Below are 23024 nucleotides of genomic sequence, written 5' to 3'. Positions count from 1 at the left end.
TTTGTACTTTTAGTAGAGACGGGTTTCGCCATGTTGGCCAGGCTGGTCTCGAACTCCTGACCTCAGGTGATCTGCCTGCCTTAGCCTCCCAAAGTGCTGAGATTACAGGCTTGAGCCACCGCGCCTGGCCTCTTGCAGTTATTTCGAGATGGTTATAATATAATTTTTTTCAGAGTTATAAGTTTTACAGACCCTTTCCAGTATTTATTAAACACTTTTCAGATCTAATTTGTATCACAAATAAAATTTACTAAAGTTCCTCAAATAAAATTTACTAAAGTTCCTCATTATCACTTCTCTTGGCTTCTCCTGTGTTCCCTACTTTGGATAAGGGCATCACTGTCTACCTTGGGTCTTAAGGAAAACTTTGAAGTATTTTTGACTCTTTCCTGGGTCTAATCTCCATATTCATTTGGCTACTAGGTATAGCTATTCCTACTTCTATATTAACCTTTCTTACCTCTTTCTTAATCTATTGTGGCAGATTAATGGACCTCTTTGCTTCCCAGCTCTCCTAATATCTTCCTTATACTGCTATTAGAGCATAGCAGTATACTATGACGGGATGTTATTCTAGTGAACAGACTTCAGTAGACCACTTTTCTGAGGGCCTCTGACATCTCTCCAGAACCTGCAGTATAAAGCTCAAACCACAAGGGCACTTACAAATTTGCTTCTAGCCTGGCTTTCTAGCTTTCTTCCCACCCTACTATACTCCAGGCTTAGTATTCTGAGTATGACAGCAAGTGGAAAAGGGGGTATTCTAAACAAGAAGGCATGAAAATGTGTAATGTACTTATATCCTCCATTAGATAGACTTGTACTTACTCTTTAAGGCTTGGTGAAAATGTCATCCCCTTGATTACACATTCTCTGACTTCATTCCCTTTCTTCTTTTTCTTCTTCTTCTTTTTTTGAGACAGAGTTTCACTCTTGCTTAGGCTGGAGTGCAGTGGCGCAATCTTGGCTCACTGTAACCTCCGCCTCTCAGGTTCAAGCGATGCTCCTGCCACAGCCTCCCAAGTAGATGGGATTACAAGCATGCGCCACCACACCTGGCTAATTTTTGTATTTTTAGTAGAGACAGGTTTTCACCGCGTTGGCCAGGCTGGTCTGGAACTTCTGACCTCAGGTGATCCCCCCACCCTGGCCTCCCAAAGCCCTTTCTTAATTTATACAGATTATAAGTACTTACTATATTGTTTCAGAGTTATTTCTGTTCTTACATGTTTCCACAGTAGGCTGTGAGCTCCTTGAGGGTAGATAGGACCAATATTTATTCATCTTTATATTCCTAGTGTCCAATATAGTGTCCAATATAGTCCAATATAGGGCGTATTGTAGGAATTGATGTGTTCGTTTGAATTGATCACCAGCATACATAAATTATACTCTCTTTTGAAAGCCTGGTTCTTCACAAGGCTCCTAGCTCTGTAGGTCCCCTGAGGCTGCCACTAGGAGGCTCCAAAGCCATCCACATGAGGAATTTTGGTTTGCTTCCAGGTTAGGCAAGAAACTGATGATGCTTGACAAATTCTTATAAAAAAAATTCAGATGTTTTCAAGATGGCAGCAGTACACGCTGGGGACTAATGGGTGAGAGAAGGAGGGAGGCAAGGCTTGAAAAACTAACTCTTGGATACTAGGCTCACTATCTGGATGATGGGATCATTCGTATCCTAAACCTCAGCATCACACAATATATCCATGTAACAAACCTGCACATGTACATTCCCTGAATCTAAAATAAAAGTTGAAATTATAAAAAGTTATGATACCTAAATCTTTATTTTAATTTTTAGAATTCTGTTTTGTTTTCTGGTTGATGTGGCATTTAGCAGCTTTGGATTACACCAAAGGGCAATCCCTTTGGTGAAGTTATTCCTAAATGATAATAAGTCAGGAATATAAACATTTCAATCCTAGACACTCTAGGGGAAAGTCAATTCTCAAAGAGGTTAAGTTTTTTTTTTTAGTCACAGAATGAAGGCAAAGGCTATTGATGCCATAATCCAAGGCCTAAATACTTATCTGCTTCTTCATCAAAAAGGATGTATCAAGTGTCTTTGCCCATTATTCAATTAACTTCCAAAGGATGTTCATATACCAGATTCCAACAGAAATTGCCATCTCTGATTATTACTGCTCAATGGTCAAATATGTCAGGGTATTGGCTCTAATTGGCACTCATGAATGCTGCTTTGGTGTAGTCAATTCTAACTAATTTTCTTATAAGGTTGTTTTTTTAGGGTCCTCTTGATATTGGGATAATCCTAGAGCTTCTGTTTAGGGTGAGGAGTAAGAGAGGAACATTCAGAGCTACATCCATCTCTTCATGCACCTCTGTCTTTTTTTTTCCCACATCTAAATTCTGTCTTTATGGCTGAGTTCATCTTCCATGAGGGCTTCTCCAGACTGTAGTAGTTTCTTTTTCCTAAATTCGGAATAACTGCATCTTAGAGTTAGAATAACTTTAGTTAATGTAGTGCGATATTCTACCCAATGTGTGAATTCCACCAAGTGTGGTTTAAAATGGCCCCAGATACACTGAGTGAATTAGCACATGTCTTGGTTTTGGCCTAGGCTAGTTATGTAGCTGTTTTTATCTAAACGCAGTCCTCTTGTAAGAATGAATACTTTCTTCAAGCTAGGTATATCACTGCTGACTGTTTTTTATGATTATATTTGTCCCTTGGTATTTGTGGGGGATTGGTTGCAGTTCCTCCAGTGGGTACCAAAATCTGTAGATGCTCAAGTACCCGATATAAAAGGTAGTATTTGCATATAATCTGTACATATCCTCCTGTATACTTCAAATAATCTCTAGATTAATTTTAATACTTAATACAATGTAAATACTATGTAAATATTTGTTACACTATTGTTTAGAGAATAATGACAAGAAAAAGTCTGTACCTGTATAGACACAATTAAAAAATGTTTTCGATCAGTGGTTGGTTGAATCAACAGACACAAAACTCATGGATACAGAGGGCGGACTGTACTCAGTCCTTTTATTTAGCACTTTTGTGAAGAATCAGCCAAGCCAAACAAAATATCAGTGTGGTTGGAATCACAGAAATTGCAGGTGAAAGAAATGAAATAGATTTGATACATTCTGATACTTTGTATAGATTAGTATTAGATCCAGTTCTGCAGGGATTTTCACTTGAAAATACCCTTCACATCAATTGGATATGAGTTCTAGTGTACCGATGAAAAATCATGGCTGTGGTCAATACTATGAGGAGGGCCTTAGAAATATTTAGCATATGAATGATTTATGCTGATTTGTTGTGGCTGCTGCTGGGTTCAGCCTCCAACCCAATTGTATTGCATGTTTTCATGAACATTCTGGAGATTAAACTATAGTGTCTTCATCTGGGAATGATGTAAAGCTAGAGAAACAATGCAGGCCAGAGAGGAGGGAGCTGGAGCAGACTTGAATATTCATGGATATCTGCCAAGTATCCATATATATTTGCATACATTTAGAAGTGGCTAAAAATACTTGCTGAGGCAGTTCCTGCCAGAGTGTCGTTTGTTCTGCTGGGTGATACAGTGAGAAGAGCATTAGCAGTCAGGAGGCTTGGAGTCTAATCTTTCCTTGGTACAAAATGGCTGTGAAACCTCAGGCAAATCACTTCATCCCTAGCCCCAGTTTTCATATCTGTGAAAGGATATTCTACTCTACCCATTCCTCTCAAGCAGGAGTCAGCAAAGTACAGTCTGCAGACCAAATTCTGCCACCACCTGTTTTTGTATAGTTTTATTGGCACACAGCCATGCCTATTCATTTATGTATTGCATATGGCTGCTCTTGTATTTGGTATCAGAGTCATATTTTGTTTTTTTAATTTAGAAAGAAGATCTTTATTTCCCATAGAGAGTTGCAGCCCAGCCACAGAGTTGAGTAGTTGCAAGAGATTGTATGACCCACAAAACCTAAAATACTTTCTGTTTGGCTCTTTATAGAAAAAGTGTGCTAACCCCTGCTCTAGAGAACATTTGAAAAATTAGGGGGACTTTTCCCCCAAGAGACTGGGGATGCTACTGGTATCTGGTTGGTAAGGCCAAGAATGTCAACTGTCCTGCAGGGCAGGACACAATGAAGCACTGTCTTGCCTGAAATTCTGCTATTCTGATAACTCCCTCTTAAATATTCCTTCTCCTTTGTGAAAGAGAACAGCCACTTTGAAAGCTATATTTACTATGCAATTTTACAAGTTAAATGGGTCAGGACTTTTTTTTTTTTTTTTTTTTTTTTTTTTTTTTTTTTTTTTTTTTTGAGACGGAGTCTTGCTCTGTCACCCAGGCTGGAGTGCAGTGGTGCCATCTTGGCTCACTGCAACCTCCACCTCCCGGGTTCAAGGAATTCTCCTGCCTCACCTTCCTGAGTAGCTGGGACCACAGGCGCATGCCACCACGCCCGGCTAATTTTTTCTATTTTTAGTAGAGACGGGGTTTCACCACGTTAGCCAGGATGGTCTCGATCTCCTGACTTCGTGATCCGCCTGCCTCGGTCTCCTAAAGTGCTGGGATTAAAGGCGTGAGCCACCGTGCCCAGCCTGGCTCAGGACTTTTTTTTTTTTTTTTTTTTGAGACGGAGTCTTGCTCTGTCGCCTAGGCTGGAGTGCAGTGGCGCAATCTCGGCTCACTACAAGCTCCGCCTCCTGGGTTCACGCCATTCTCCCACCTCAGCCTCCCGAGTAGCTGGGACTACAGGCGCCCACCACCACGCCTGGCTAATTTTTTGTATTTTTTTAGTTGAGATGGGGTTTCACCATTCACAGGATGGTCTCGATCTCCTGACCTTGTGATCCACCCGCCTTGGCCTCCCAAAGTGCTGGGATTACAGGCGCAAGCCACCATGCCCGGCCAGGTCAGGACATTTTTTAACCACTCTCCTTAACCTGAAAAAGGGTATCTACCTTGAAATGAAATCATTTTTTATGTTTAATGGTGAAATATTACAGCATTCCCTTTAAAATCAGGAAGAAACCAATGATGCTTACAGATTATACCAGAGATTCTAACCAGCACAATAATGCCAAGAACTGTGAGGGGACTGAGGTTTCACCCTACCTGCAAGCTAAGCTAAGCTAATTGCCTGAAATTCTGATATTCTGATAACTCCCTCCTAAATATTCCTTCCCCTTTGTGAGTCTACCTGCAAGCTAAGAAAGATAGCCTACCAGAGTGCAGAAACTCAAGAGTTTTATGTCTTACTACAAATAAGAAAGGTAAAGTAAATAAAAATGTAAGAGTTGAGACAGAAGAAACAAAATTGTTATTATTAGCAGATGATATTTCCATAGTGAATTCATGAACATCTCTAGATAAAAATAGAAATAATGGGAGAACTCACCAAAGTTTCTGAATTGAAGCTCCATATACCAAAACCAGTTGCATTTTTATAGAGGGGCAAAAATTTAGAACATACTATTAAAATGATACCATTTATCAGGGCAGCAGAACTCAAAGTACCTATGAATAATCTGACAAATGTTATACCAAATTTTAATAGAGGAAATTATAAAATTTTATTGAAAAACATGAAGACCTACATGGAGATATGTCATATCATGGATAGGAAGATGAAATATCTTGAAATTGTCTCCAAATTAATGTATAAATTCAATGCAATTCAAACTCCTACAAAGCCGTGTGTGTGTGTGTGTGTGTGTGTGTGTGTGTGTGTGTGTAAATAGGCTGATCACCTCAATAGATGCAGAGAAAGCATTTGATAAAATTCGGTATCCATTCATGATAAAAACTCTCAGCAAACTGGAAGAGTAAGGAACTTCCCTAACTAATCTAATAAAATGTATAACGAATATATTTATGTGTATAGAGCTGAAAACTACAAAAAGTGGTGAAAGAAATCAAATGAGAGAGAGAGAGAGAGAGACAAAATGTGTTCATGGATTAGAAGACTCAGTATTATTAAGATATCAGTTCTTCTCGATGTGACCTATAGATTAAACTCAATCCCCAAAAACCATAGAAAACTTTTCTGTATACGTGTGTTTGTGTGTGTATGAATATATGGACATGAATACACACACACACACTAACTAGAATAAGTAAAACAGTTTTATAAAAGTAAGACAAGACAATATAGAGCCATTATAATCAAGGGAGTATGGTATTCATAGAAGAATAAACACATAAATCAGTGGAGCAGAATAGAGAGCTTAGAAATAGACCCACAAAATAATGTCAACTGATTTTTGACAAAGATGCAAAGGCAACTCAGTGCAAAAAGGAGAGTCTTTTCAACAAATGAGACTAGAAAAATTGGAAGTTCTTATGTGAAAAGATAAACCTTGCTACATTCCTCATACTTTATGCAAAAAATAACTAAAACAATCATATACCTAAATGTAAAACACAACACTTATAAAACTTCTAGAAGAAAAGGGAGAAATCTGTGTGACCTTGGAATTAGCAAAAAGTTTTTAGATACAATATTGAAAGTATGGGCCGGGCACGGTGGCTCATGCTTGTAATCCCAGCACTTTGGGAGGCAGGTGGGTGGATTACTTGAGGCTGGGAGTTTGAGACCAGCCTGGCCAACATGGTGAAACTCCGTCTCTGCTAAAAATACAAAAATTAGCCAGGTGTGGTGGCACACGCTTGTAATCCCATCTACTAGGGAGGCTGAGACAGGAGAATTGCTTGAATCCGGGAGGCAGAGGCTGCAGTGGGTCAAGATTACGCCACAGTACTCCAGCCTGGGCAACAGAGCAAGACTCTGTCTCAAACAAACAAACAAACAAACAAACAAAAAGGAAAGAAAAAAGAAAAAAAGAAAGTATGATCCATAAAAAGAAAAATAGATAAATTGGCCTTTGTCAACATTTAAAAAATTTTGGTCTGTGAAAGACCCTTTAATGAAAAAGTGAAGCCACAGACTAGGAGTGATTTTTTTTTTTTTTTCTTTGAGATGGAGTCTCACTCTGTCACCAGGCTGGAGTGCAGTGAGTGCAATCTCGGCTTGGAAGGAATATTTTAAAATCACAAATCTGATAAAGGATTTGTGCCCAGAACATATAAAGAACTCTTAAAATTTAAAAAATTAGAAAATAACCAAATAAAAAGTGGGCAAGAGATATGAACAGTTTACCAAAGAAGATAAATGAATGGAAAATAAGTATATGAAAATGTGCTCAACATCATTGTCATTAGGGAAATGGAAATTAAAACCACAACTAGATACCACTACAAATCTATTAGAAGTTGAACAAAGATAACTGAAAATACCACAATGAGATACCCCTATAACTGTATTAGAAGTCTAACAAACAAAACTGAAAATACCAATTATTGTTGAGAGTATGGAGCACCTGGAACTCTTATACAATGCTGGTGAGAATGCAAAATAATACAGCCATTCTGGAAAAAAGTTTGACAGTTTCCTATAAAGCTAAATGTGTAATTACCATATGACCCTGTAGTTTTGCTTTTATGAATTTACTCAAGTCAACTGAAAACTAATGTTCACAGGAAAACTTGTATATGAATGTTTCTTGAAACTATATATTCATTCTCGAAAACTAGAAACAACCTGGATTTCCTTCAGTGGGTGAATGGTTAAACAAACTATAGTACAGCCATTCAATGGAATATTATTCAGCAATAAAAGAATTAACTATTGATTCACAACAACTTGGGTGAATTCTAAATGCATTTTGCAAAGTGAAAGAAGCCATATCCCAAAGGCTACATATTGTATAATTCCATTGTTATGACATTCTGTAAAAGAGAAAGCTATAGAAACAGATAAACAAAACCAAAAAACAACAAAGTGTTGGCCACAATGAGGATGAATGGAGGGGTTGATAATGGAAGGTAGCATGAGGGAGTTTTTTAGGGTGATCATATTATTTTGTATGGTAATGGGCTAGTGGTTACTTGATTCTGTGCACTTGTCAAAACCCACAGGACTGGCTGGGTGTGGTGGCTCATGCCTGTAATCCCAGCACTTTGGGAGGCTGAGGTGGGCAGATCAGGTCAGGAGTTCGAGACCAGCCTGACCAGCATGGTGAAACCCCGTCTCTACTAAAAATACAAAAATTAGCGGGGCATGGTGACACGCATCTGTAATCCCAGCTACTCAGGAAGCTGAGGCAGGAGAATCACTTGAACCCAGGAGGTGGAGGTTGCAGTGAGCCGAGATCACACCACTGCACTCCGGCCTGGGTGACAGAGCGAGACTCCATCTCAAAAATAAATAAATAAATAAATAAATAAATAAATACGTAAATAAATGAACAGAACAAAACAAAACCCACAGGACTGTATGCAACAAATAGTGAATTTTACTGTCTTCACATTTTAAGAAACAACCAGGATATTGGGGGAACGTAAGGCAGACTACAGATCTGGCAAATAAATTTAAGTGTATTGTGATGAATGGCACAATCATACTGGAAACTTGGAGAAGAAAGAAGCTGAATAACTTTATTTTGAATAGACACTGTAAGGCTAAAGAAAAAAGAAGTATGCAGCACTGTACTGTGGTTGGTAAATATGTTTCTTAAAGGAGTATGGGTTAGCAATTCTGAAACTACTTTGTATGTATATTAGTGTTGAGCAAATAAGCAAATATAGTTTATGAAAACCAGGCTTCTTACTGTCAGAGAAAGAAATTACGGATAAAATGAGAATGCTAAAATGAATTCTTTTTTTTTTTTTTTTTTTTTTTTGAGACCGAGTCTTGCTCTGTTGCCAGACTGGAGTGTAGTGGCGCGATCTTGGCTCACTGCAACCTTCGCCTCCTGGGTTCAAGTGGTTCTCCTGCCTCAGGATCCCGAGTAGCTGGGACCGCAGGCGTGCGCCACCATGCCCAGCTAATTTTTTATTTTTAGTAGAGACGGGGTTTCACCATGTTAGCCAGGATGGTCTCAATCTCCTGACCTCGTGATCCGCCCACGTCGGCCTCCCAAAGTGCTGGGATTACAGGCGTGAGCCACCTGACCTCGTGATCTGCCCACCTTGGCCTCCCAAAGTGCTGGGAATACAGGCATGCGCCACTGCGCCTGGCCTAAAATGAATTCTTTAGTGTTGGATTGGAGTTGGACTAGAGTGTCCTTCTTTTCCTTTTAAGATAGTGAAATAAATATAGATATTATATGTGTACATCAGTTAGTAAGCCTATATACCTCTCTGAGCTCTTTCTACTTGAGAGGGTCTAGAAGTAGTGATACCCCAGTAGCAATGAACACATGTGGTGCCTAAATCTTGGTTTCTAAATATTATTCTCCAACAAAAGGAACCAGGTTTTGTTAGAGGAGTGGATGATTCTAGGATGGGAGGGAAAAATACAAGATGAGACTGGGACATTTGTGGTGCCAGAAAGTAAGGAAGTGCTTAAAAAAAAATAGATTGAGGATATGTCAAAAAATTATAGAAGCTCAGCTGAAAAAGCTCTCATTAGCCAAAGCTGGAACAGTTTGTCCAACAAAATAAAGAAATGTGGCTTAATAAAATAACATTCATAAGTTCATATATATATATATATATATATATATATATATATATATATATATATATATATATAATGCTTGAATAAATAAATGAGTGGAGAAGAGACAACTCTCTTCCTTATAGAAGAATTCCAATTAATAAATGTAGAGGGATTGAGAAAATAAGAATTGGAACACCAGAGTAATTATTGGTGTAGGTGAGATCCATTGAGGATTGCTAAAATTAGTGGGCAAAAGTTTACAGAATAATGTGCTATTGCATAGCCTTAAAATATCTCCTACAAAATATTCATTAATTACAAAGGCAAAATAGTAACGTTGTATGGAGAAACCCACCAGAACTAATTTTAACCAAGGGAACAAGTTTATTAATGTCACCATTAATAAGAGCTAAACATACCTTTGTGGTATCGTTCCACAAAATCTGTAACTTATTTCAATTATAAAGAAACTTCTGTCAGCCCAAATTGAGGGATATTCTACCTAAAACTGATGAGTACCTGACCAGTACTCTTCAAAACCACCAAGATAATGGAGACAAGGAAAGACCAAGAAATTATCACAGTTCAGAGAAGACTAAGGAGACATGGAAACTAATGCAATATGGGATTCTGGTTTTGGTCCTGGAATAGAAAATAGTTCTAGTAGAAAAACTGGTGAAATCTAAATAAAGTATGCACCTAATTAAATTTATGTAAACATTGGTTTCTTAGTTTTGATAATTTCCCTTGGTTGTATAAAATGCAATAAAAATATAAACCAATGTATGTTTTTTATTCATATGATGAAAGCCCATACATGTACACACGTGTACATACATATAAGAATATTACTTTCAGGATTTATGATGGTGGTTATCTTTCTGAGGAGGTGGAAAGAGGAAGGAGAATGTCATCGCAGAGTGGTAAACTGAGGACTTTACGTATTTTTGAACTATTTTATTTCTTTAAATAAATCTGAAGGAAATATGGCAAAATGTTATCAAAGAATAGAATGTGAGGGTGCATGGATGTGGATGGGCATTTTTTGTACACTAAAAAATATTTTATTATGAAAACAATGTTAAAATGAAGGCTATTTTTTTTTTTTTTGAGATGGAGTCTTGCCCTGTCACCCATGCTGGAGTGCAGTGGCGAGATCTTGGCTCACTGCAAGCTCGGCCTCCTGGGTTCATGCCATTCTCCTGCCTCAGCCTCCCTAGTAGCTGGGACTACAGGCGTCTGCCACCATGCCTGGCTAACTTTTTTGGTAATTTTAGTAGAGACAGAGTTTCACCGTGTTAGCCAGGATGATCTCAATCTCCTGACCTCGTGATCTGCCTGCCTTGGCCTCCCAAAGTGCTGGGATTATAGGTGTGAGCCACCGCGCCTGGCCATGAAGCCTATTTTCCAAAGATGGTATGCTGAATGCCTCGGAGATCTATGAATCTGGATTTATGGATGTTGTTTTGGACTGTTTTAGTTATCCAGATAAGAAGTAGATAGTATTAATTGGAATAGAAAAGAAGGGGACAACACTGAGACATTTTGAAACCAAAGTGGATAAACTTGGTAAACTGAAGGGGCAGGGAAAAAGAAATAAAAGATGACTGAGGGTCAGAGACTAGAAGACTAGGGAAATTAAAGGACAAGTTATTTGGAGGGAGAATAGGGTAGATAATGAGTACTTTGGCTTGGGAATATTAGGATCTCAGCACAGAAGCTCTTCTAAAGTCTGTGAACCTGTTTCAAGGATCTGAGGAAGAGTCAGCATCTTCCTTTTCTTGCTGCTGTTGTAGTGGCTGCATTGAAGACAGGAGGGAAGGGAGTGGCACTAGTTTTAGCCCTGTCCCTGTGTGTGAGGGAAGCCAAAGCATTCTTTCAGGTCTGCACCTGATCTTCTGGACCCAGCACTGTAACAGCAGCATACAAAATTCTATCCAAGTTTTAATATGCAATCTCATATAATCTGCAGAGAAGCAGAATATACATGATGTAACAATGGCATTTGAAGTCCCAAGGTTTTAAGATGGTTCATTTTAAACTACAGAGAAAACTCTGTAGCTCTGTTTCTTTTTATTTATTTTTATTTCTGTTAGAGTTTTTAAAAACTATGGTTAAATACACAGAACAGAATTTACCATTATAACAGAATTTACCATTTGAGTGTATGATTCAGTGTTATTAAGTACATTGATAGTTGTTTTACAAACCATTGCCACCATCCATCTCCAGAACTCATCATATTGCAAAACTAAACTCTGTACCTATTAAAAAATAACTCTTCATACCCATTCTCCTCAGCCTCTGTCAACCACCATTCTACTGTCTCTATAAATTTGACTACCCCAGGTACCTCATATAAATGGAATCATACAGTATTTATCTTTTTGTGCCTGGGTTATTTCATTTGGTATCATGTCCTCAAGGTTCATCCACATTGTAGCATATGACAGGATTTCCTTTCTTTTAAGGCTGAATAATATTCTTCTTTATGTCTTTATCACATTTTGTTTATCCCTTTGTCTATTGATAGACACTTAAGTTACTTCTACCTTTTGGCTACTGTAAATAGTGCTGCTGTGAACATGGATGTATTATTTTTGTGACTTTTTGATAGCTTTTTTTGGAGCTATAATTTACATATTTTCATAAAATTCACCCATTACAAGTATGTAGTTTAATTATTTCTATGAAATGTATAAAGGCTTCCAACAATTATCTTCATCCTTAGAACATTCTTATGCTTGTTTACAATCAAGCCCTTCTCCCATCCCAGCCTTAGAAAACCACTGATATGCTTTCTGTCAATTGATATGCGTTCTCCAGAAATTTCACATAAATGAAGTCATAATACGTGGTCTTTTTGTGTCTGGCTTCTTTCACCAGACACAAAATCTAGTCTAATGTTGTTGAGGTTATCCAGGTCTAGAATTTATTAGTAATTAGTTTCTTTTTATTTCTGAATGGCATTTCATTTTATGGATTTGCCACATTTTGTTTATCCATTTACTAGTTTCTGGACATTTGGGCTGTTGCCAGTTTTGGCTGTTATGCATAATGCTACTATAAATATTCATGTACAAGTCCTTTTTTTTTTTTTTTAACAGAGTCTCACTCTGTTACCGAGGCGGGAGTGCAGTGATGGGACCATGGCTCACTATCGCCTCAAACTCCTAGGCTCAAGCTGTCTTCCTGCCTCAGCTTCCTGAGTAGCTGGGACTACAGGCACATGCCACCACGTCTGGCTAATTTTTAAATTTTTTGTACAGATGGGGACTCCTTATGTTGCCCAGGCTGGTGTGGTGTCAAACTTCTGGCCTCAAGCCATCTTCCCACCCTGGCCACTCAGAGTGATAGGATTATAAGCATGAGCCACTGTGCCCGACCTCATGTAGAAATCTTTTTTTTTTTTTTTTTTTTTTGAGACGGAGTCTCGCTGTGTCGCCCAGGCTGGAGTGCAGTGGCGGGATCTCGGCTCACTGCAAGCTCCGCCTCCCGGGTTCACACCATTCTCCTGCCTCAGCCTCCCAAGTAGCTGGGACTACAGGCGCCCGCCACTACGCCCGGCTAATTTTTTGTATTTTTAGTAGAGACGGGGTTTCACCGTTTTAGCCGGGATGGTCTCGATCTCCTGACCTCGTGATCCGCCCGCCTCGGCCTCCCAAAGTGCTGGGATTACAGGCGTGAGCCACCGCGCCCGGCCATGTAGAAATCTTTATGTGGACATATGCTTTCATTTCTGTCAGGTAGGCTCTCAGGAGTGAGTTTGTTAGGTTGTACAGCAAGTTTATTTTGTTAAGAAACTACCAATGTGTTTTCCAAAGAGGCTGTAGCGTTTTACATTCCCACCAGCAATGTGTGAGGGCTCTTGTTTCTCCACATTCTTGGCAGCACTTGGTATTGTCGGTTTTCTGGGTTATAACTATTCTAGTGGGTGTGTAGTAGTATCTCATTGTGGTTTTAGTTTGCATTTCTCTAATGAATAATGATATTATATATAATTTTATGTGCTATTAGCCATTTGTATGTCTTTGGTGAAATGTCTATTCAGATCTTTTGTCCATTTTAAAAATTGGGTTGTCTTTTTATCAAGGTGTAAAACATTCTTTATATATATTTTATCATATATGTAATTTTAAAATATTTTCTCAGTTGGTGGCTTATCTTTTCCTTAGCTTAATTATATCTTTTTTTTTTTTTGTCAGAGTCTAGAGTGCAGTGGTGCATTCTTGGCTGACTGCAACCTTCGCCTCCCAGGTTCAAGTGATTCTTGTGCTTCAGCCTCCCGAGTCGCTGGGATTAAAGGCATGTGCCACCATGCCTGGCTAACTTTTATATTTTTAGTAGAGATAGGGTTTCACCATGTTGGCCAGGCTGGTCTTGAGCCCCTGGCTTCAAGTGATCCGCCCACCTCAGCCTGACAAAATGCTGGCATTACAGATGTGAGCCACCATGCCTGGCCTAATAGTATCTTTTAAAGAGCGAACACTTTTACTCTTGATGAAGTTCGATTTATTATTATTTTTCTATTTTGAATTATACTTTTGGTGTCATAACTAAGAAATCTGTACTTAACCTAAGGATACAAATATTTTTTCTTATATTTTTGTCTAGAAAATTTATAGCTTTAGATCTTATATTTAGGTCTGTGATTGATTTTGAGGCTTTTCTTTTGTATATGATGTAAGGTAAGGGTCTAAATTCTTTAAAAAATATTTTGAAATAACTTTAGACTTACAAAAACTTGCAGAAGTTGTACAGAAAAGTTAAGTAAGCTACAGACTTTATTCATATTTCACCAGTTTTACATACAATCATTTCTTCTATGTGTGTGCATGTATAGTTCAATGAAATTTTATTACATATATGAATTCGTATAACCAATATAACAATCAGAATGCATAACTGTTTCACCACGCAAAAGCAACTACCTCATACAACCTCTTTATAATCTGTTCTGTATCATTATAATTTTCTCATTTTGAAAATGTTTGAAACCTTTTGAAAATGCCTCCCTCCCTATCAATTTTGGTAATTTGTGTCTTCTTTCTTTGTCATCCTAGCTCAAGGTTTTTCAGTTGTATTAATCTTTTCAAATAATCAATATTTTGTTTTATTGACTTATCTTTTTGTTTTCTAGTTCATTGATTTCCATTCTGATCCTTTTTTTCTTTTTTTTGCTTGCTTCGTGTTTAAAATTTTCTTATTTTTCTAGTTTGTAAGTGCGAACTTAGATTATTGATTGATTATTGATGTGAGAACGTTCCTTTTTTAGAATATAGATGTGTAAAGATAAAAATTTCTCTCTAAGCACTGTTTAAACTGTGTCTCATGAATCTTTTGAAACTCAATCTGACAGTCTCTCTTTTGATTGACTGTTTAGTCCATTCAAATTTAGTGCAATTATTAATATGATTGAATTTATGTCTTTCACTTTGATATTTTCTATATTTCTTTTGTTAACTGCCTTCTTTTTGTTAAATGGATTATTAAGATTCTTAAAAAGACTAGTCAGTTAATTACTCTGTTGATTTTTACACTATGTTATTTTCAGTTGTTTTCTTTTTTTTTTTAATTATACTTTAAGTTTTAGGGTACATGTGCACATTGTGCAGGTTAGTTACATATGTATACATGTGCCATGCTGGTGCGCTGCACCCACTAACTTGTCATCTAACATTAGGTATATCTCCCAATGCTATCCCTCCCCCCACCCCACCACAGTCCCCAGAGTGTGATAGTCCCCTTCCTGTGTCCATGTGATCTCATTGTTCAATTCCCACCTATTAGTGAGAATATGCGGTGTTTGGTTTTTTGTTCTTGCGATAGTTTACTGAGAATGATGATTTCCAATTTCATCCATGTCCCTACAAAGGACCTGAACTCATCATTTTTTATGGCTGCATAGTATTCCATGGTGTATATGTGCCACATTTTCTTAATCCAGTCTATCATTGTTGGACACTTGGGTTGGTTCCAAGTCTTTGCTATTGTGAATAATGCCGCAATAAACATACGTGTGCATGTGTCTTTATAGCAGCATGATTTATAGTCCTTTGGGTATATACCCAGTAATGGGATGGCTGGGTCAAATGGTATTTCTAGTTCTAGATCCCTGAGGAATCGCCACACTGACTTCCACAATGGTTGAACTAGTTTACAGTCCCACCAACAGTGTAAAAGTGTTCCTATTTCTCCACATCCTCTCCAGCACCTGTTGTTTCCTGACTTTTTAATGATTGCCATTCTAACTGGTGTGAGATGGTATCTCATTGTGGTTTTGATTTGCATTTCTTTGATGGCCAGAGATGATGAGCATTTTTTCATGTGTTTTTTGGCTGCATAAATGTCTTCTTTTGAGAAGTGTCTGTTCACGTCCTTTGCCCACTTTTTGATGGGGTTGTTTGTTTTTTTCTTGTAAATTTGTTTGAGTTCATTGTAGATTCTGGATATTAGCCCTTTGTCAGATGAGTAGGTTGCGAAAATTTTCTCCCATTTTGTAGGTTGCCTGTTCACTCTGATGGTAGTTTCTTTTGCTGTGCAGAAGCTCTTGAGTTTAATTAGATCCCATTTGTCAATTTTGGCTTTTGTTGCCATTGCTTTTGGTGTTTTAGACATGAAGTCCTTGCCCATGCCTATGTCCTGAATGGTAATGCCTAGATTTTCTTCTAGGGTTTTTATGGTTTTAGGTCTAATGTTTAAGTCTTTAATCCATCTTGAATTGATTTTTGTATAAGGTATAAGGAAGGGATCCAGTTTCAGCTTTCTACATATGGCTAGCCAGTTTTCCCAGCACCATTTATTAAATAGGGAATCCTTTCCCCATTGCTTGTTTTTCTCAGGTTTGTCAAAGATCAGATAGTTGTAGATATGTGGCGTTATTTCTGAGGGCTCTGTTCTGTTCCATTGATCTATATCTCTGTTTTGGTACCAGTACCATGCTGTTTTGGTTACTGTAGCCTTGTAGTATAGTTTGAAGTCAGGTAGCGTGATGCCTCCAGCTTTGTTCTTTTGGCTTAGGATTGACTTGGCGATGCGGGCTCTTTTTTGGTTCCATATGAACTTTAAAGTAGTTTTTTCCAATTCTGTGAAGAAAGTCATTGGTAGCTTGATGGGGATGGCATTGAATCTGTAAATTACCTTGGGCAGTATGGCCATTTTCACGATATTGATTCTTCCTACCCATGAGCATGGAATGTTCTTCCATTTGTTTGTATCCTCTTTTATTTCCTTGAGCAGTGGTTTGTAGTTCTCCTTGAAGAGGTCCTTCACATCCCTTGTAAGTTGGATTCCTAGGTATTTTATTCTCTTTGAAGCAATTGTGAATGGGAGTTCACTCATGATTTGCCTCTCTGTTTGTCTGTTATTGGTGTATAAGAATGCTTGTGACTTTTGTACATTGATTTTGTATCCTGAGACTTTGCTGAAGTTGCTTATCAGCTTAAGGAGATTTCGGGCTGAGACAATGGGGTTTTCTAGATATACAATCATGTCATCTGCAAACAGGGACAATTTGACTTCCTCTTTTCCTAATTGAATACCCTTTATTTCCTTCTCCTGCCTAATTGCCCTGGCCAGAACTTTCAACACTATGTTGAATAGGAGTGGTGAGAGAGGGCATCCCTGTCTTGTGCCAGTTTTCAAAGGGAATGCTTCCAGTTTTTGCCCATTCAGTATGATATTCGCTGTGGGTTTGTCATAGATAGCTCTTATTATTTTGAAATACGTCCCATCAATACCTAATGTATTGAGAGTTTTTAGCATGAAGGGTTGTTGAATTTTGTCAAAGGCTTTTTCTGCATCTATTGAGATAATCATGTGGTTTTTGTCTTTGGCTCTGTTTATATGCTGGATTACATTTATTGATTTGTGTATATTGAACCAGCCTTGCATCCCAGGGATGAAGCCCACTTGATCATGGTGGATAAGCTTTTTGATGTGCTGCTGGATTCGTTTTGCCAGAATTTTGTTGAGGATTTTTGCGTCAATGTTCATCAAGGATATTGGTCTAAAATTCTCTTTTTTGGTTGTGTCTCTGCCCGGCTTTGGTATCAGAATGATGCTGGCCTCATAAAATGAGTTAGGGAGGATTCCCTCTTTTTCTATTGATTGGAATAGTTTCAGAAGGAATGGTACCAGTTCCTCCTTGTACCTCTGGTAGAATTCGGCTGTGAATCCATCTGGTCCTGGACTCTTTTTGGTTGGTAAACTATTGATTATTGCCACAATTTCAGATCCTGTTATTGGTCTATTCAGAGATTCAACTTCTTCCTGGTTTAGTCTTGGGAGAGTGTATGTGTCCAGGAATTTATCCATTTCTTCTAGATTTTCTAGTTTATTTGCGTAGAGGTGTTTATAGTATTCTCTGATGGTAGTTTGTATTTCTGTGGGATCGGTGGTGATATCCCCTTTATCATTTTTTATTGTGTCTATTTGATTCTTCTTTTTTTCTTTATTAGTCTTGCTAGTGGTCTATCAATTTTGTTGATCCTTTCAAAAAACCAGCTCCTGGATTCATTAATTTTTTGAAGGGTTTTTTGTGTCTCTATTTCCTTCAGTTCTGCTCTGATTTTAGTTATTTCTTGCCTTCTGCTAGCTTTTGAATGTGTTTGCTCTTGCGTTTCTAGTTCTTTTAATTGTGATGTTAGGGTGTCAATTTTGGATCTTTCCTGCTTTCTCTTGTGGGCATTTAGTGCTATAAATTTCCCTCTACACACTGCTTTGAATGCATCCCAGAGATTCTGGTATGTTGTGTCTTTGTTCTCGTTGGTTTCAAAGAACATCTTTATTTCTGCCTTCATTTCGTTATGTACCCAGTAGTCATTCAGGAGCAGGTTGTTCAGTTTCCACGTAGTTGAGCGGTTTTGAGTGAGATTCTTAATCCTGAGTTCTAGTTTGATTGCACTGTGGTCTGAGAGATAGTTTGTTATAATCTCTGTTCTTTTACATTTGCTGAGGAGAGCTTTACTTCCAACTATGTGGTCAATTTTGGAATAGGTGTGGTGTGGTGCTGAAAAAAATGTATATTCTGTTGATTTGGGGTGGAGAGTTCTGTAGATGTCTATTAGGTCCACTTGGTGCAGAGCTGAGTTCAATTCCTGGGTATCCTTGTTGACTTTCTGTCTCATTGATCTGTCTAATGTTGACAGTGGGGTGTTAAAGTCTCCCATTATTAATGTGTGGGAGTCTAAGTCTCTTTGTAGGTCACTCAGGACTTGCTTTATGAATCTGGGTGCTCCTGTATTGGGTGCATATATATTTAGGATAGTTAGCTCTTCTTGTTGAATTGATCCCTTTACCATTATGTAATGTCCTTCTTTGTCTCTTTTGATCTTTGTTGGTTTTAAGTCTGTTTTATGAGAGACTAGGATTGCAACCCCTGCCTTTTTTTGTTTTCCATTTGCTTGGTAGATCTTCCTCCATCCCTTTATTTTGAGCCTATGTGTGTCTCTGCACGTGAGTTGGGTTTCCTGAATACAGCACACTGATGGGTCTTGACTCTTTATCCAATTTGCCAGTCTGTGTCTTTTAATTGGAGCATTTAGTCCCTTTACATTTAAAGTTAATATTGTTATGTGTGAATTTGATCCTGTCATTATGATGTTAGCTGGTGATTTTGCTCGTTAGTTTATGCAGTTTCTTCCTAGTTTCGATGGTCTTTATATTTTGGCATGATTTTGCAGCGGCTGGTACCGGTTGTTCCTTTCCATGTTTAGCGCTTCCTTCAGGAGCTGTTTTAGGGCAGGCCTGGTGGTGACAAAATCTCTCAGCATTTGCTTGTCTGTAAAGTATTTTATTTCTCCTTCACTTATGAAGCTTAGTTTGGCTGGATATGAAATTCTGGGTTGAAAATTCTTTTCTTTAAGAATGTTGAATATTGGCCCCCACTCTCTTCTGGCTTGTAGGGTTTCTGCCGAGAGATCCACTGTTAGTCTGATGGGCTTCCCTTTGAGGGTAACCCGACCTTTCTCTCTGGCTGCCCTTAACATTTTTTCCTTCATTTCAACTTTGGTGAATCTGACAATGATGTGTCTTGGAGTTGCTCTTCTCGAGGAGTATCTTTGTGGCGTTCTCTGTATTTCCTGAATCTGAATGTTGGCCTGCCTTGCTAGATTGGGGAAGTTCTCCTGGATAATATCCTGCAGAGTGTTTTCCAACTTGGTTCCATTCTCCCCATCACTTTCAGGTACACCAATCAGACGTAGATTTGGTCTTTTCACATAGTCTCATATTTCTTGGAGGCTTTGCTCATTTCTTTTTATTCTTTTTTCTCTAAACTTCCCTTCTCGCTTCATTTCATTTATTTCATCTTCCATTGCTGATACCCTTTCTTCCATTTGATCGCATCAGCTCCTGAGGCTTCTGCATTCTTCACGTAGTTCTCGAGCCTTGGTTTTCAGCTCCATCAGCTCCTTTAAGCACTTCTCTGTATTGGTTATTCTAGTTATACATTCTTCTAAATTTTTTTCAAAGTTTTCAACTTCTTTACCTTTGGTTTGAATGTCCTCCCGTAGCTCAGAGTAATTTGATCGTCTGAAGCCTTCTTCTCTCAGCTCGTCAAAGTCATTCTCCGTCCAGCTTTGTTCTGTTGCTGGTGAGGAACTGCGTTCCTTTGGAGGAGGAGAGGCGCTCTGCTTTTTAGAATTTCCAGTTTTTCTGCTCTGTTTTTTCCCCATCTTTGTGGTTTTATCTACTTTTGGTCTTTGATGATGGTGATGTACAGATGGGTTTTTGGTGTGGATGTCCTTTCTGTTTGTTAGTTTTCCTTCTAACAGACAGGACCCTCAGCTGCAGGTCTGTTGGAATACCCTGCCGTGTGAGGTGTCAGTGTGTCCCTGCTGGGGGGTGCCTCCCAGTTAGGCTGCTCGGGGGTCAGGGGTCAGGGACCCACTTGAGGAGGCAGTCTGCCCGTTCTCAGATCTCTACCTGCCTGCTGGGAGAACCAGTGCTCTCTTCAAAGCTGTCAGACAGGGACATTTAAGTCTGCAGAGTTTACTGCTGTCTTTTTGTTTGTCTGTGCCCTGCCCCCAGAGGTGGAGCCTATAGAGGCAGGCAGGTCTCCTTGAGCTGTGGTGGGCTCCACCCAGTTCGAGCTTCCAGGCTGCTTTGTTTACCTAAGCAAGCCTGGGCAATGGCGGGCGCCCCTCCCCCAGCCTCGCTGCTGCCTTGCAGTTTGATCTCAGACTGCTGTGCTAGCAATCAGCGAGACTCCGTGGGCGTAGGACCCTCCGAGCCATGTGCGGGATATAATCTCGTGGTGCGCAGTTTTTTAAGCCGGTCCGAAATGCGCAATATTTGGATGGGATTGACCCGATTTTCCAGGTGCCCTCTGTCACCCCTTTCTTTGACTCGGAAAGGGAACTCCCTGACCCCTTGCGCTTCCCAAGTGAGGCAATGCCTCGCCCTGCTTCGGCTCGCGCACGATGCGCGCACCCACTGACCCGCGCCCACTGTCTGGCACTCCCTAGTGAGGTGAACCCGGTACCTCAGATGGAAATGCAGAAATCACCCGTCTTCTGCGTCACTCACGCTGGGAGCTGTAGACTGGAGCTGTTCCTATTCGGCCATCTTGGCTCCTCCCCCTCATTTTCAGTTGTTTTCTTAGTTGCTCAAGGGATTTACTATGCATCTTAATTTAGCACAGTCAATTTAAGGTTAATGTTAACTTAATTTTTATAAATTACAACAACTTTACTCAAATACAGCTTCTTTTCTTATCCTTTCTATTGTGTTAATTTTGTTCTGTGTATTACTATTACATCTATATATGGTATAACTAAAACATATTTTCTTCTATATATAATCTTACGAGTTTTTAAAACATGTAAAAGAGAAAAGGATTTTTGTTTATTTACATATTTACAATTTCTAGTGTATTTCATTTCTTCCTGTGTATCTGAGTTATTACTTGATATCATTGCCTTTTAACCTGAAGCACTTCCTTTAATATTTCTTGTGTTGCAGGTCTGCTAGCAACAAATTCTCTCAGTCTTTTTTTTTTTTTTTTTTTGAGGTGGAGTCTCGCTCTGTTGTCCAGGCCGAAGTGCAGTGGTGTGATCTTGGCTCACTGCAAGCTCTGCCTCCCAGGTTCACACCATTCTCCTGTCTCAGCCTCCCAAGTAGCTGGGACTACAGGCGCCTGCCACCATGCCTGGCTAATTTTTTGTATTTTTAGTAGAGACGGGGTTTCACTGTGTTAGCCAGGATGGTCTTGATCTCCTGACCTCGTGATCTGCCCGCCTCGGCCTCCCAAAGCTGGAATTACAGGCATGAGCCACAGTGCCCAGCCTCTTTTTTTTTTTAAATATGGAAATGACTTTATTTTGCCTGCATTTTTGAATGATAGTTTTGCTGAACATAGAATTATTGGTTGTCAGAAGTTTTCTTTTAGCGCTATTTATTTATGAGATAGGGTCTAGCTCTGTTGCCCAGGTTGGAGTGCAGTGGTGCAGTTATAGGTAACTGCAACCTCAAACTCCTGAGCTCAAGCAGTCCTCCTGTTTCAGCTTCCTGAATAGCTGGGATTATAAGTGCATGCCATCATGTTTGGCTAAATATTTCCTTTATTTTTTTTTAAGAGACAGAGTCTTGCTGTTACTTTTCGCCCTTTGTAAATGTCATTCTACTGCTTTCTAGTCTCCATTGTTTCAAATTGGAGGAAGTCAGCCATTAATTGTATTACTTGTTCCCTTTATGGATTAGTTTTTTTCCTCCGTGCTTTTAAGATTTTCTTTTTATCTTGGGCTTTTAACATTTTTATTATAATGTATCTAGATGTGGATCTCTTTGTGCTGAGTTTTGTTGTACTTGTGCTTGAGGTTTGTTGTACTTCTTGAATCTGTGGATTAATGATTTTTATCAAATTTTGAATGTTTTTGGTCATCATGTCTTCAAACAATTCTGCCCTTTATTTTTCCTCTCCTTGTAGGACTCCCGTTATGCATATGTTTGATTGCTTCATGTTGTCCCATAATTCTCTGAGGCTGTGGTCATTTTTCCTTGGTCTTTTTTATCTTTGTTTTTCAGGTTAGGTCATTTCTATTCACCTATCTTTAAGTTCTCTGATTTTTTTTTTTTGCATGGCTTGTAATATTTTATTGGAAACTGGCCATTTTAGATAGGTTATAGCCAATCTATACCATTCCCCTCTTGCTGATCTTTGTTGTTTTGTAATCAAAGTAGTTCTTTTTTTCCATGACAATTGTTGTTTTATGTTTTCTTTGTTTTTAGGTAAGTTATTTGGACTTTATATCTTTTTGTTGTGCTGTTACTGATATTTCTTTATAGTTTTAAAAATTTTTATTTTTATTTTTTAGCTTGGTTTCCTAGGGTTTGCCTCTGAGTCTGCATAGCTTAGTGATCAGCCAATGACTGTTCAGAGATTATGTTTAAAACATTTTGGACCCTTAATGTTTTCATGTTCAGCTGATGGATTTCTCTGTGGATTGATAAACACATTAAGTTTTGTGGCATTTTTTAGGTCTTTTTCACTTTATTTTTTCCTGCTGATCTCTTGGGTCTCTCCCATGTTTGTGCGTAGCCTCCCCATTAGC

The 23024-nt window shown here is 38.7% G+C and overlaps 1 protein-coding gene across 13 annotated transcripts in view, besides 1 other annotated feature; it reads left to right on the top strand.

The window, feature by feature from the left end:
• The window catches only part of HPSE2 (heparanase 2 (inactive)), an 858875-nt gene that overhangs the window by 142160 nt on the left and 693691 nt on the right, over positions 1–23024 (top strand). The gene's annotated exons all lie outside the window — the stretch shown is intronic.
• Positions 20228–20823: an enhancer, noted in NCBI's record as "H3K27ac-H3K4me1 hESC enhancer chr10:100912726-100913321 (GRCh37/hg19 assembly coordinates)". NCBI's record gives its function as "activates a minimal SCP1, AML or CMV promoter by ChIP-STARR-seq in naive H9 embryonic stem cells {active_cell/tissue: H9 hESC(naive)}" and the evidence as "EXISTENCE:reporter gene assay evidence [ECO:0000049][PMID:30033119]".

This window comes from Homo sapiens, chromosome 10 (assembly GCF_000001405.40).
Source record: "Homo sapiens chromosome 10, GRCh38.p14 Primary Assembly".
NCBI classification, from domain to species: Eukaryota; Metazoa; Chordata; class Mammalia; order Primates; family Hominidae; genus Homo; species Homo sapiens.
Note: the sequence above shows the minus strand (reverse complement) of the source record. Positions and strands in the feature narration are given on the sequence as shown.